This window comes from Homo sapiens, chromosome X (genome assembly GCF_000001405.40).
Source record: "Homo sapiens chromosome X, GRCh38.p14 Primary Assembly".
NCBI lineage: Eukaryota > Metazoa > Chordata > Mammalia > Primates > Hominidae > Homo > Homo sapiens.
The window spans coordinates 36,317,259-36,330,729 of NC_000023.11; the positions used below are offsets into that span (position 1 = coordinate 36,317,259).

At 33.0% G+C, this 13,471-nt stretch overlaps 1 protein-coding gene across 1 annotated transcript in view; it reads left to right on the forward strand.

Annotated features, from left to right (window-relative positions):
- CFAP47 (cilia and flagella associated protein 47) overlaps positions 1 to 13,471 on the forward strand; it is a 465,584-nt gene that overhangs the window by 397,525 nt on the left and 54,588 nt on the right. The window contains exon 57 of the mRNA NM_001304548.2: positions 1,951 to 2,049. Within this exon, the coding sequence (NP_001291477.1) occupies positions 1,951 to 2,049 (99 nt within the window). The remainder of the gene's footprint in view (positions 1 to 1,950; positions 2,050 to 13,471) is intronic.

The following is a 13,471-nucleotide window of genomic DNA, read 5'->3' on the forward strand; positions in this document are numbered from 1 at the left end:
TGGTGTAAGAAAATCTCCCAGAACCTAAAAATCCCTCCCAAATTCAGACATGCAACTTTTAAAATATTTGAATTAAGAAATAAATAGTATTGAGAAATTTGAGACTTTTTGGCAGGGAAGTTGGGGTATCAAATATATTAAGTTTTGTGTTTTTTTTTTCTTTCTTTTTGAGACGGAGTCTCACTCTGTCGCCCAGACTGGAGTGCAGTGGTGTGATCTCAGCTCACTGCAAGCTCCGCCTCCTAGGTTCATGCCATTCTCCTGCCTCAGCCTCCCGAGTAGCTGGGACTACAGGCGCCCACCACCACACCCAGCTATTTTTTTTTTTTTTTTGTATTTTTAGTAGAGACGGGGTTTCACCGTGTTAGCCAGGATGGTCTCGATCTCCTGACCTCATGATCCGCCCACCTCGGCCTCCCAAAGTGCTGGGATTACAGGCGTGAGCCGCCGTGCCTGGCCTATATTAAGTCTTTATAACTTAGTTTAATTGGGTTATTTGTCTTAGTTTATTTTGCTCATATTAACATATTGTTAATATTATTGTACTAATAAAAATATATTATTGTACAAATAAAAAGTAAATGTAGAATAATTATAACCATTTTTGAAGTGAGTAATCTGAGACTCTACTTGCTTACAATTATTTTATTTTTAGATGCTGATAAGATATCTTAACATTTGGAACTTGTTTTATCTGATTCTTGATTAACAACACTCCAAATTCAGTAAACAATATTTGAGAGCTTATAAAAATTCATATTCCCAGGTCCACATTCATTTATTCTGATTCATAGGGGCTAGGGTGAGGCCCTGCCATCACAAGCTATTCCAATGCAGGTTTTCAGAAGACTACACGTTTAGAAACACTAATCTATACACAATGATCTCAAAACATGTTTCCCTTTTATCGTATACCACTGTTAGTAAATATCTTTTGGCATTTCCTTCAATGTATATATATTTACATTTGAAAAATAACCAGTTAGCACTATCAACTCATATTTTTAATGTAAGTAGAGCTTATCTTTTTAATAGAGAATTAATAAACATTTTGTATCTATTGGTTTGAACTTGTTAACATTGTTAACATTGGATAAATGTTGTTTATTTGTGCATATTTATATACAGGCCATCCTTCTGTATCCATAGGGGATAGATTTCAGAACCCCCAAGGATATCACAATCCACAAATCCCCATGTCCCTGATACAAAATGGCACAGTGTGTGCATGTAACCTACACATATACTTTCATATATTTTAATCATCTCTAGATTACTTAGAACACCTAATACAATGTAAATGCTATGTAAATAGTTGTCATAGTGTATGATGTAGGGAATAAAGACCAGGAAAAGAGTCTGTACATATTCAATGTAGATGAAACCATCCATTATCTTTTTGAAGATTTTCAATCTGCCTTTGGTTGAATCCATGGATATGGAACCCATGGATACAGAAGGCCAACTGTATTCATCAATACAATCTATTTTTAAACAGCAGGCTCAAATAGACTCTTAATATCTACTTGTTGAGTATTTCACTCTTAATATCTGCTTGTTGAGTAGTTCAAATTAAAATTCCAAGATTTTTAAAATATAGAGATGTGGTCTTGCTATGTTGCCCAGACTGGCCTTGAACTCTTGGCCTCAAGCAATCTTCCTGCCTCAGACTCCCCAGTAGCTGGAATTTTAGGCACATGCCACTGTGTCCACCTGAAAGTTCCAAGAATTTATGAGTTTATTTTTTAAACATCATAGATAAAACCATTTATATTATTAAATATGTTCTTCAAAAATGCCATTTAAATCTCATTTTAAAATATACTTTGAAAGATATTCATCTTATAAGTTTCCTATTAGAGGATAATTTTTATTCTATTTCCATCTCCACCGCTGTTTTTCTTCTTGAATGTGACATTGAAGTGTAATATCTCTTTATTTTTTAATTAGGTGTGGAACATCCCAGGAATCTTGTCATGGATCATTGCTGGGATAGCTTCATCTATGAGAGTTCTGCCTTCAGATTTAGTTCTCCGAGTGAAATACAAGGTACAGGATTTCTACCTTACATTCTATCATTCTGTTTGTTGTTGCATTTCAGAGATAATGAAATATATGTCTGTTGCCTTAGTAAATATTTAACACAAATTAAAAATATAATTTTAAAATTTTGGAACAAATTTTAGTAAGTTGATAGAAAAACATGGATGGTAAAACATATATATATATATATATTACATTTGTATTATTTTTAATTCCTCAGGACATAAGTAAGATTTGCCAAGTATTTTAACTTTGAAATTTTCCATGGTTGAATAGCATACCACTTAACACATGGTTATATGAGTCAAGAAAGATTTCAGAAAATTATAAATAGTGTGTTAAAACTACTGGTACTAATAAAAAGTAGTATATTGATAGTAATAAAAAGTAGTATCAGTAGTTTTAATACTAATAAAAAGTATCAGTAGTTTCAACTACTGTTTTACTGCGAATTTATTACAGGGTATAAATTTTTGTTGTTGTTTGGTTTTGTTTTGTTTTTGAGACTATTTTTGTTGTTGTTGTTGTTTAGTTTTGTTTTGAGACAGAGTCTCACTCTTGTCACCCAGGCTGGAGTGCAGTGGCACAATCTCGGCTCACTGCAACCTCTGCCTCCCAGGTTCGAGCAATTCTCCTGTCTCAGCCTCCCAAGTAGCTGGGACTACAGGCGCACACCATCCCGCATGGCTAATTTTTGTATTTTTAGTAGAGATTGGGTTTCACCATATTGGTCAGGCTAGTCTCGAACTCCTGACCTCAGGTGATCCACCTGCCTTGGCCTCCCAAAGTGCTGGGCTTACAGGGGTGAGCCACCACGCCCAGCCAATATCTATTTCTTCTATATATTAACCACCCCACCTGTGTATTGATGAATAGGAAAAATTCTAAGAACTAATGAAGTTTCTTAAAAATCTAACGCTAAAAAATTATGAATTTGCTTAACAATAACAATGTTTTAAAAATATAAAACATAATTGTTTTGGTAAATATGAATTATCTTAACATAATTAATACAAAAATACTGACTGAAATAAATAACCACTACTAACATTTCAGTAAGAATGGGTTAATTAAGTTCTCTTAAATTTTCTGTAGCCATAGCCATTTATAAAAACATCCTAAATGTCATTAATTGAATTCATTTGCTACAACTTCAAGGGACAGGTGGATGTTATTATTATTCTCACTGAATTATGGAGAGTGCAATTCAGAAAAATTAACTTACACAGAATCAAAATAATTGCTTAATGGCATACTTGAATCTTTTTGTGTTTCAAAATTTTTCTTTCTATTTCTTTGCAATGCATTAAAAAGAGTATGAACAACAGTTCACAAAAGATAAAGTACAAATGGGCAAAAAATGGTTTAAAATATGTTCAATGTCACTAATAATCAGATACTGATTTTTAAAAATGACCATCTAGATTTTTTCCCTTTTTTTAAGTTTGTTTTTGTCTTTTAATGGAACTACAAATGCTAATGTTTCTATAGTGAAACTGGAATAATCAAACAATACTGATGGAAATACAAATTACTACATAGTTTTTGGAAAGCACTCTTTGTAATGTATAAAAAGAAACTTTGTAACTGTCATTCTTTTGACCTAGTAATGCCAATTCTGTTGGTTGCAATGTAAAGTAGTACAACTGCTATGGAGATCAGTTTGGAGGTTCCTCAGAAAACTAAAACTACACCTACCATATGATCCAGCAATCCCACTGCTAGGTATATAACCTTAAGAAAGGAAATCAGTACATTGAAGAGATATCTGTACCTCCATGTTTATTGCAGCACTATTCACAATAGCCCAGATTTGGAAGTAACCTAAGTGTCCATCAACAGATGAATGTATGAAGTAAATATGGTACATATATACAGTGTAGTAGTATTCAGCCATAAAAGAGAGAGAGAGAGATACTGCCATTTGCAACAACGTGGATAGAACTGTAGGTCATTATGTTAAGTGAAAGACAGGCTTCTCATGTTCTCACTTATTTGTGGGATCTAAAAATAAAACAATTGAACTCATGGAGATGGAGAGTAGAATGATGGTTACCAGAGATTGGGAAGAGTAATGGGTGGCGGTGGGGCCATGAGGGGAAGAGGGCAGGTTGATGGGTACCAAAAAATAGAAAGAATGAATAAGTTCTGGTATTTCATAACACAACAAAGTGACTATAGTAAAAAATAATTTAATTGTACATTTAAAAATAACTGAAAGGGTATAATTGGACTATTTGTAACACAAAGAGTAAATGCTTGAGGTGATGGATATCTCATTTACCCTGATGTGATTATCACACATTCTATGCCTGTATCAAAATATCCCATATACCCCATGAATATATATACCTACCAGATACCCACAAAAATTAAAAATTGAAACAAAGATATATTCAAAGTATGGTTAATGTATGAATAAATATACTTGATGTTGCATTTTTTATAATAGCAAAAAATTGAAAACTGCCTTCATGTCAAATAATATTGTTATATTTGTGGCAACTATTTATACGTCTGCTTATACTTAATTTCACTGATTCATTAAATACGTGAGCCATTTTCTGTTTTTAACATTTCTTCCATTGATTCTACACTATCAATGTCATTCCACATTTTGAAATCAATTGAAAATTCACCTACATTTTCTTTTTCTTCTCCTTTGTTTTTAATGAGGAAATGGTTACAGGTAGGTAGGCAACTTTTACTCCTTCAATTTATCTATATTGTGCTTTTTTGCTGTGTAATGAAAACCTAATTTGATTGCCCCTCACTTAATTAGCCACTTTTCCATTTTTTCTTGAATAATAATTATTATTTTGTTGCTATTTATGTTTGCAATGTGACTTATCTGATATTCAGATCATATATATACTTTTCCCTGCATCTGTATTTCAGATCTAATGCCAGTGCCATACAGTTTAAACCCCATGGTTTTGTTTTCTTATTTTATTTCTTTCTCTCTGGTGTCTTTAAATGATTTATTTTCTCTTACCTACTTATTCTTCTAGTAAAAATTATAATAAATTTTTATCAAGTCCCGCCCAAATCCCAATTATTATTTAATGGCAATTACATTTGGGGACAACTACATCTTTATAGTATTTAAACTTCTTTTTCAGGGCCATTCATTTCCTCACTATTTTGAAACACAGTATTTATGACTGCCGATAAAATCTATATTTACAAAACAAAAATATAAACCTTCTAATAACTACTTTTATTTTAAATACTACAATTAGTAGTTATATATAATGCAATTTTTATGCAACAAAGAGACCAACATTTGTGTTCCATTTTAAGAATTTTAGCTTGAAAAATAGAAATTAAATGTAGTTTATTAATTATAATTTCTATTTTTCTTATTGTCATAAAATATTTTTTCAAATTTAAACCAGTTTCTTGGTGAATTTCTTATTGTCTTCTCTAGTTTCTGCCATGACTTGCTTTCTAAGATAAACAATGCACACTGGCCTATGTAGTGTTTTTGACAGTTCATGATGTGCTCCCTGCTGCTCTATATAATAAGATCTCCAAAGGGGCTTGTTTATTTTATAGAAACTTTTTGTTTGCTCTGATATTTTACATGCTATAATACTAGTTGTAGGAGTTTTTCTGCTTATTTGAGGAACATAAAACATTAAGAGTACAACAGAAATGGGAGTTTGGCTTCTTATGTCACTATTGGCATAAGACATTGGGGCACTATTGGTACTATAAAAATTACCTCTAGGGACACTATCATGTAACAGAAAAAGCATTTATACCCTTAAAACTAAGTGTTCCTACATTAACATAGAACATTTTCTTGGTGAATATTTGAGAACTGAAAAGATTACCTTATCCTTGACCAGTGTTTACCTAAGTATTTTGTAAAAACAAGAACACAAAGAAACAGAAACAACTAAGTTATATACACCTACTATGTAGCTACAAAAATAGAATTAAAAACAAATAAAAACCTTAAGTTCTATGCTTAAATGAATTTGAGAAATACTTGGCTAAACAAAGTTTATTTATGGCAGGGTTTCCTAGGCCTTTTTTTTTTTCTCTCTCTCTCTAATGCTATGTGTATTTTTAGGTAGAGGAAGTGATATGTATTTCAAAATGTATTTGGCCAAGAAATATACTTTTGTAAATGTTATTTTCTCATAAACTGATTCAGCAGGGAAGTTCTAAACTTGCACCTTCTAATTTGCCATATGATGTGACAATGCATTCTATTCAATTTTATTCAATATTAGGCAGTAAGGGAGACTGAGTGACAACTGTTACGACTAACATATGTTCCTCAAGTATGAATGCTACTGCTTCATTTCATAATAGCAGCCATTCTATTCATCATCCCAGTCAATCTGACTTTACAAAAATTTTAGTCTCTGTATTACAAAAGGACATGGATAAAAATAATTTCTGTAATTATTTCTCATATTACTTTCTTTCAGAAATTTTATAATTCCTTGTGCTTATAAAGTTGTTTAGTAAAATTAGATCTAGATGTAGTTATATGTTGACCTAGATTGGAGCTCTAGCCACTGAAACTATATTTTTCCCATTGGAAAAAGGGTTCACAGCCCTTTTATTCCTTTAAGCAAATATATATTTCTAGAAATTATTTCCTTGGAATGAGCTTCATACTATACTATAGATAGTGAAGTACTTCATTTTGTTTTTAGAAAGTTCACTGTTCCTTTCGTTATCATTCAAAACTGGTGACAAGGACTAGACAGGAAGAAGAAAAGGGTCTTTCTGTCAGTGAAGAATCTTAACCTGCCAGGTTTTCACTTTGAAATGTTATCTTGTCTACAGATTTAATTAGGTCAAATAACCAAGAACGACACAAGAGTGTAGGTGAATTGTGATTTCAAAGGACATCCTTCTACAAAGCTAATAAAGTTATAGGACTTGCAGTATTCTTTTTTCTCTTTTAATAGGAAATAATCAAATGTTACTGAAACAAGATTAAACTTGTGGAAATACATTAGCTGTAACATCGTACTGGGTCATCTGACTAACATTTAAAAAAAGTTGGAGGTTTAGCATTATTACATCTCTAGTGTTACATACTGTAGCACTAGAGAATAAAGTACTACTTTACAAATCTACACATAGATGTAAAATTAGACCTAGAATGTTAGGAAGGCAGCCAAGGTATGGGGACTGAGCATTATGGTCAAATAATCTGTGTTCTTCTTTTGACTGTAACATGGATAAGCTGTATTAGCTTGGGCTAGTTTCTATCCTGTAAGAACCCTATTTTGGACATTATTAAAAAATCAGTTTTACCTAGTAAGACTTTTTGATAAACATACACAATTGTGTATGTGAAGACATTTCTAAACACTAAAACTATGTACAAATATATGTTATTGGGATTATTATAGATGAAAATAGGTTAACTTCAAAATGGACTTCTACTTTTCCTCAATTTTATAGGAAACAAGATCTTTCACCTGCTGTTACATGCCAGGAAATACATTACTGGAAAAGAAAGAAATAGTTATTTTTCTTATGAAATCCATTTTTTTTCTAGATGAAATAATTCCTAAACAAATGGTTTTAATTTTATAAACTAAAATTACTAATTGATTAAATAATTTTGGTATCTTGGTGAATACCAGTTTTCTAGAAAATAACTTTTTATGGGACTGTTGATATCTATATCTACAGTTACATCTATATCTAGATTTAAATAGATATAAAAAATTATCCAGCCTTATTCCTTTTGACATTCCTAATCCTTCATATATTTTACTCTTCCTCAACATTTCTGTTAGAAAAGACTCTCCATATTTCAGTTATTCGTATGTTACCTTCACAATTTTTGGCATACCTTTGTATCACCTATATAATAATTTAAAGGCATTCTAATGGAAAACGGTGTCATTTACCATGAACAATAGCAATATACAATGTGCCAGGAGCTATTTTAATCACTTTACAAATATTAATTGATTTAGTCCTTACAACACTATAAGATAAATTCCATTAATATTCCTATGTTAGAGATGAGTATGCTGAGATATATAGGAGTTGTGCCCAAGAACTCACAGACAGTACGTGCTGGAACTTAGGTTTGAATTTGGGGCTTAGACTCTTACCCTCTACACAGTACTTCTATAAAACACCAATAAATAACTTAAAAAATGTAAACATATAGATCCCAGTATCACTCGAAAGTATCTTAAACATCACTGTTACGGAATAGTTTTCCTGGGAAGAAGACTCTGAAAGGAGGGTAGTGGGTAGGAAGTGTATTAGGGAGTGCTCTGAGGATCAACACAACTGAGGGAAGAGGATGAAGCAGGATTGAGTAGGGGGAGAAGGTGGGGACAAAGGTGTCAGCTCACACAATGGCTAGCACTGAAGCTAGGATAGCTCCTCAGAGTTGCCCCAATTTGGGATGAAGATGCCAGGATTTTACACATCCCTCCCTCACCTTCCACATCAATTCATCATTGAATGCACTCTGCCCTCAGGAAAGGAGTTTTACCTTGGTCAGGTGACTCTCTTCAGCTGAAATTTAGGTACTATATACTGGCAATAATCTCAATAATCTGGGGCATAAAAAAGTCATGAAGATATAGTTCTCTTTTACCTAGAAGCTTTGTTGTTTACTTTTCATAATTTCGTTACTCTCCATAATTTCAAGTATGGTAAGATATAGGACTCAAAGTTCCATTTAGTCATTATGTATACCAAATTTTCCTAGCAGCATTTATGGTTAAAGCCATACATTTTTTCATTGATTTTTTGTGCTATTTTTCTCCCAAGTCAGGTAACAGTATATGTATGAGCCTGTTTCTAGACTTTATTTAGTTCAAATATTCTATTCATCTATCCTTGCAGTAATACCATACTGTCCACTACTACAGCTTATAGTAAGTCTTGATATTTGGTAACATCAATACTTCAAACTTTTTCTCTTGTTCAGGATTTTTATAGTTATTCTAGATCCTTTGCACTTACAGAAGAATTTTGGAATCAGCTAGCCAATTTCCAAACACACACACACACACACACACACACAAACGTGCTAGGATTTTGATTTGAATTGTGCTATAAAGATACCCAAAAATTTAGAAGCGACTTTGAAACTGGGTAATAGGTAGAGAGTTGAACAGTTTGGAGGGCTTAGAAGACAAGAAGATGTGGGAAAGTTTGGAACTTCCTAGAAACTTGTTGAATGGCTTTGATCAAAATGCTCATAGTGATATGGACAATGCAGTCCAGGCTGAGGTGGTCTCAGATGGAGATGAGGAACTTATTAGGAACTGGAATAAAGGTGATTCTTGCTATGCTTTAGCAAAGAGACTGGCGGCATTTTGCCCCTGCCCTAGAGATTTGCGGAACTTTGAACTTGAGAGAGATGATTTAGCGTACCTGCAGAAGAAATTTCTAAGCAGCAAAGTGTTCAAGATGTGACCTGGGAGCTCTTAAGAGTGTTCAGTTTTAGGAATTCACAAAGAGATGGTTTGGAATTGGAACTTATATTTAAAAGGGAAGCATAGCATAAAACTTGGGAAAATTTTCAGCCTGACAATGCAACTGGGGGAAGGACACTCTCTTCTATAAATGGTGTGGGGATAACTGGCTAGCCATATACAAAAGTATGAAACTGGACCCTTCCTTTCACCATATACAAAAATTAACGCAGGGTATATTAGAGATGTATATGTAAGACCTCAAACTGTAAAAATCCTACAAGAAAATCTAGAGAATATCTTTCTCTACATTGGCCTTGGTGAAGAATTTTCAGCTAAATCACCAGAATCCATTGCAAAAAAAACAAAAAATTGACAAGTGGGACCTAATTAAACTAAAGTTTTCTGCACAGAAACAAACAGACCAACAAACATACAAAAACCTGTAGACACAGTAAACACATTGGGAGAAAATAGTCACAAACTTTACATCTGACAAAGGTCTAGTATCCAGAATCTATAAGGAACTTCAACAAATCAACAAGCCAAAAACAAATAATCTCATTAAAAATGGACAAAGGACACGAAAAAACACTTTTCAAAAGAAGATGTAAAAGTAGCCAACAAACGTATGAAAAAATGCTAAACATCACTAATCATTAGAGAAATGCAAATCAAAACCACAAGGCCGTACCATCTCACGCTAGTCAGAATGGCTATTATTAAAAAATCAAATAATATCTGATGCTGGCATGGTTGTGGAGAAAACCAAACTCTTCTACGCTGTTGGTGTGAATGTAAATTAGTTCAACTTCTGTGGAAAGCTATTTGGAGATTTCTCAAAGAAGTTAAAACAGAGCGTCCATTTGACCCAGCAATTCCATTACTGGGTATATACTCAAAAGAAAATAAATCATTCTACCAAAAAAGACTCAAGCATGCATATGTTCATCATAACATTATTCACAATAGCAAAGATATGCAATCAATCTAGGTGCCCATCAACCGTGGACTGAAAAAAGAAAATGTGGTACATATATATCATGCAGCAATAAAAAACAATGACATCCTGTCCTCTGCAGCAACGTGAATGCAGCTGAAGGCAATAATCCTAAGTAAGTTAATGCAGGAACAGAAAATGAAATACCATATGCTCTCACTTATAAGTGGGAGAGAAACATTGAGTACACATGGACATAATTATGGGAAACAATAAACACTGTGAGGGTGGGAGGGAAGGGGGATTGAGTTGAAAAACGACTCATTGAGTACTATGCTCACTACGTGCATGATGGGATTCATACCCCACACCTCAGCATCATGCAATATACCCATGTAACAAACCCACACATGTTCCCTCTGTAGAGAATATAAAAGGTGAAATTATTTTTTAAAAGACTCCTTATGTTGAATATACAAAAATCAATTCAATTTGAATATAGTAGTAATAGATAATTGGAATTTGACATTAAAAATGTCATTTAAAATACAACAAAAACCCTGAAATTGTTAAATAAAAATTTAACAAAACACATGCAAGATCTTTATACTAAATACTAAAAAATCTGATGAACAAAATCCAGTAAGCCCAAATAAATAGGAAGCGTATTATGTTTATTGATTGGAACACCTAATATTGTTAAAATGGCAATGTTCTCTAACTTGATATATAGATCAAATGAATTTCCAATCTATGTCCCAATATGCTTTTTTGTAGATATTGAAAAGCTTGTTATAAAATATATATGAAAAGACAAAAGAGCAGTAATGTCCAAAAAATTTTGTAAAAGAAAAGCAAATTGGGGCCGGGCGCGGTGGCTCACGCCTGTAATCCCAGCACTTTGGGAGGCCGAGGCGGGTGGATCATGAGGTCAGGAGATCGAGACCATCCTGGCTAACAAGGTGAAACCCCGTCTCTACTAAAAATACAAAAAATTAGCCGGGCGCGGTGGCGGGCGCCTGTAGTCCCAGCTACTGGGGAGGCTGAGGCAGGAGAATGGCGTGAACCCGGGAAGCGGAGCTTGCAGTGAGCAGAGATTGCGCCACTGCAGTCCGCAGTCCGGCCTGGGTGACAGAGCGAGACTCTGTCTCAAAAAAAAAAAAAAAAAAAGAAAAGCAAAATTGGAAGATGTACACTAACAGAGTTAAGGATAAACTTAAAACCTACCTAAATTTGTATTGGCTAAAGATAGACATATGAATCAAATGAGCACAAGGGAAAGCCCAGTTTTAGACACACAACTATAATCAACTGAGGTTTTGTGTTCTCAAGAAATACAAAATATATAATTCATACAAGCAAGATCCACTTATGGATGATCAAATTAGATGGTGAAAGCTCAAAGACAAAGAGAATATTTGCATCGGCTCAGTGTATTTCTGTGAAATGTTTATTAAATACAAACAGAAAATACTAATATTACAGTGATGAAACCTGGAGGATACCACCTCGATCCTATGATAAAGATTATCATCACTGGTAATAAAATATATCAACATCATATATCCCATGATAAAGAGGCACTGAAAAGGGAAAATAGTCTCTCTGATAATATTCTCCAAAATATATATTCTCAATCTTATCATAAAATAATCAGGCAAACTCAAATTGAGGGATATTCTATAAAATAATTGACTTGCACTCTTCAAAGGTGACAAAGTCATGAAAAGACAAAGAAAGGTAAGGACTTGTCACAGATTGAAGGAGAGTAAGAGATAATGGCAGCATCTAAATGCAATGTGAAATCTTGGATTGTATTCTGTGAAATGAAAGAACAGCAGTGGAATAATTAACAAATTTGAATACAATATATAATTTAATTATCTTGTTCCAATGTTTATTTCTTCATTCTGATAAGTGTACATTTTCAATAATAAGTTATAAAAAATAAGTCAGTTGAAAAATATCATTTCTGGCATTATTTCAGACATCATTTTTGTTTTGTTTTGTTATTAAAAATCTATTGCATAGTATATAATTTCTATAAGATCAAGGGTTTTATTTTTAATTTAAGGTAAATTTGGGTAAGTAATTTGATGAGTTTTGGTTGCTACTTTACAAAAAGCAGAACAAGGAGGATATCAAAACTAGACAGCTTATGTTCATTCCTGGAAAAATCCTTGATATACCATTAGAATAATGTAAAATGCTTAAAATAAAAGCAAACATGACAAGTAGCAATAGCACAGATAAATTAAGAGCAAGTTCTGGCATGATAATCTAATTTTATTTTGCTAAATTCTTATATTTTTGAAAATGTGTAATAATTATATTCTTTATTTTCAACAAAGCATTGGATAAATCTATCATAATATCTTTTTGTACAAGTATGTGTATTTTAGTACATTGAACACTTATATCCCAAACTTCTGTTAAATGATCTTTACAGATTTTCAATAATTATAGTCACTCGCTTCCTTATGCTTTCAATTTTATTATCTATCTTCCAGCTTCTATTAATATTCACTAGGCAAAACTAGAACCATGATAAATTAGTCAGTGATTGCTGCATTAATACTGAGTAGCAAACAACCCTATAATCTGTGTCTTACAACCAGAAACATTTATTTATATTTTTGCTCATGGATCTGCTTATCAGCTGGGCATTTTAGATTTTTGCATCAGATTAAGGACTGCTCTATATATTTACACATTCTGAGACATAGCTAGAACATGTTTTTCTCATTGTAGTTAGAAGATGCACAAGAGGGCAAGTGGAAATCCGATATACCTCTTAAGTTCTCAACTTGTATATTATCACCTAAATCCACATTCCATTGGCCAAATTAAGTCACATGGTTATACTCATTATCAATGAAGATGGGAAATATACTCTGCCTACCTTAACATGGGATGCATCAATGTCAAATCAAAATCAAAGCAAGGGCCATGATTACATAATAATAAAGAGGAGTGAAATATCTGGAACAGTAACCCAGTCTACTACATAAGGCACAAGCCAGCTCTCTGCTCTTTCTACACTTGCACGCAAATAGCTGAACGT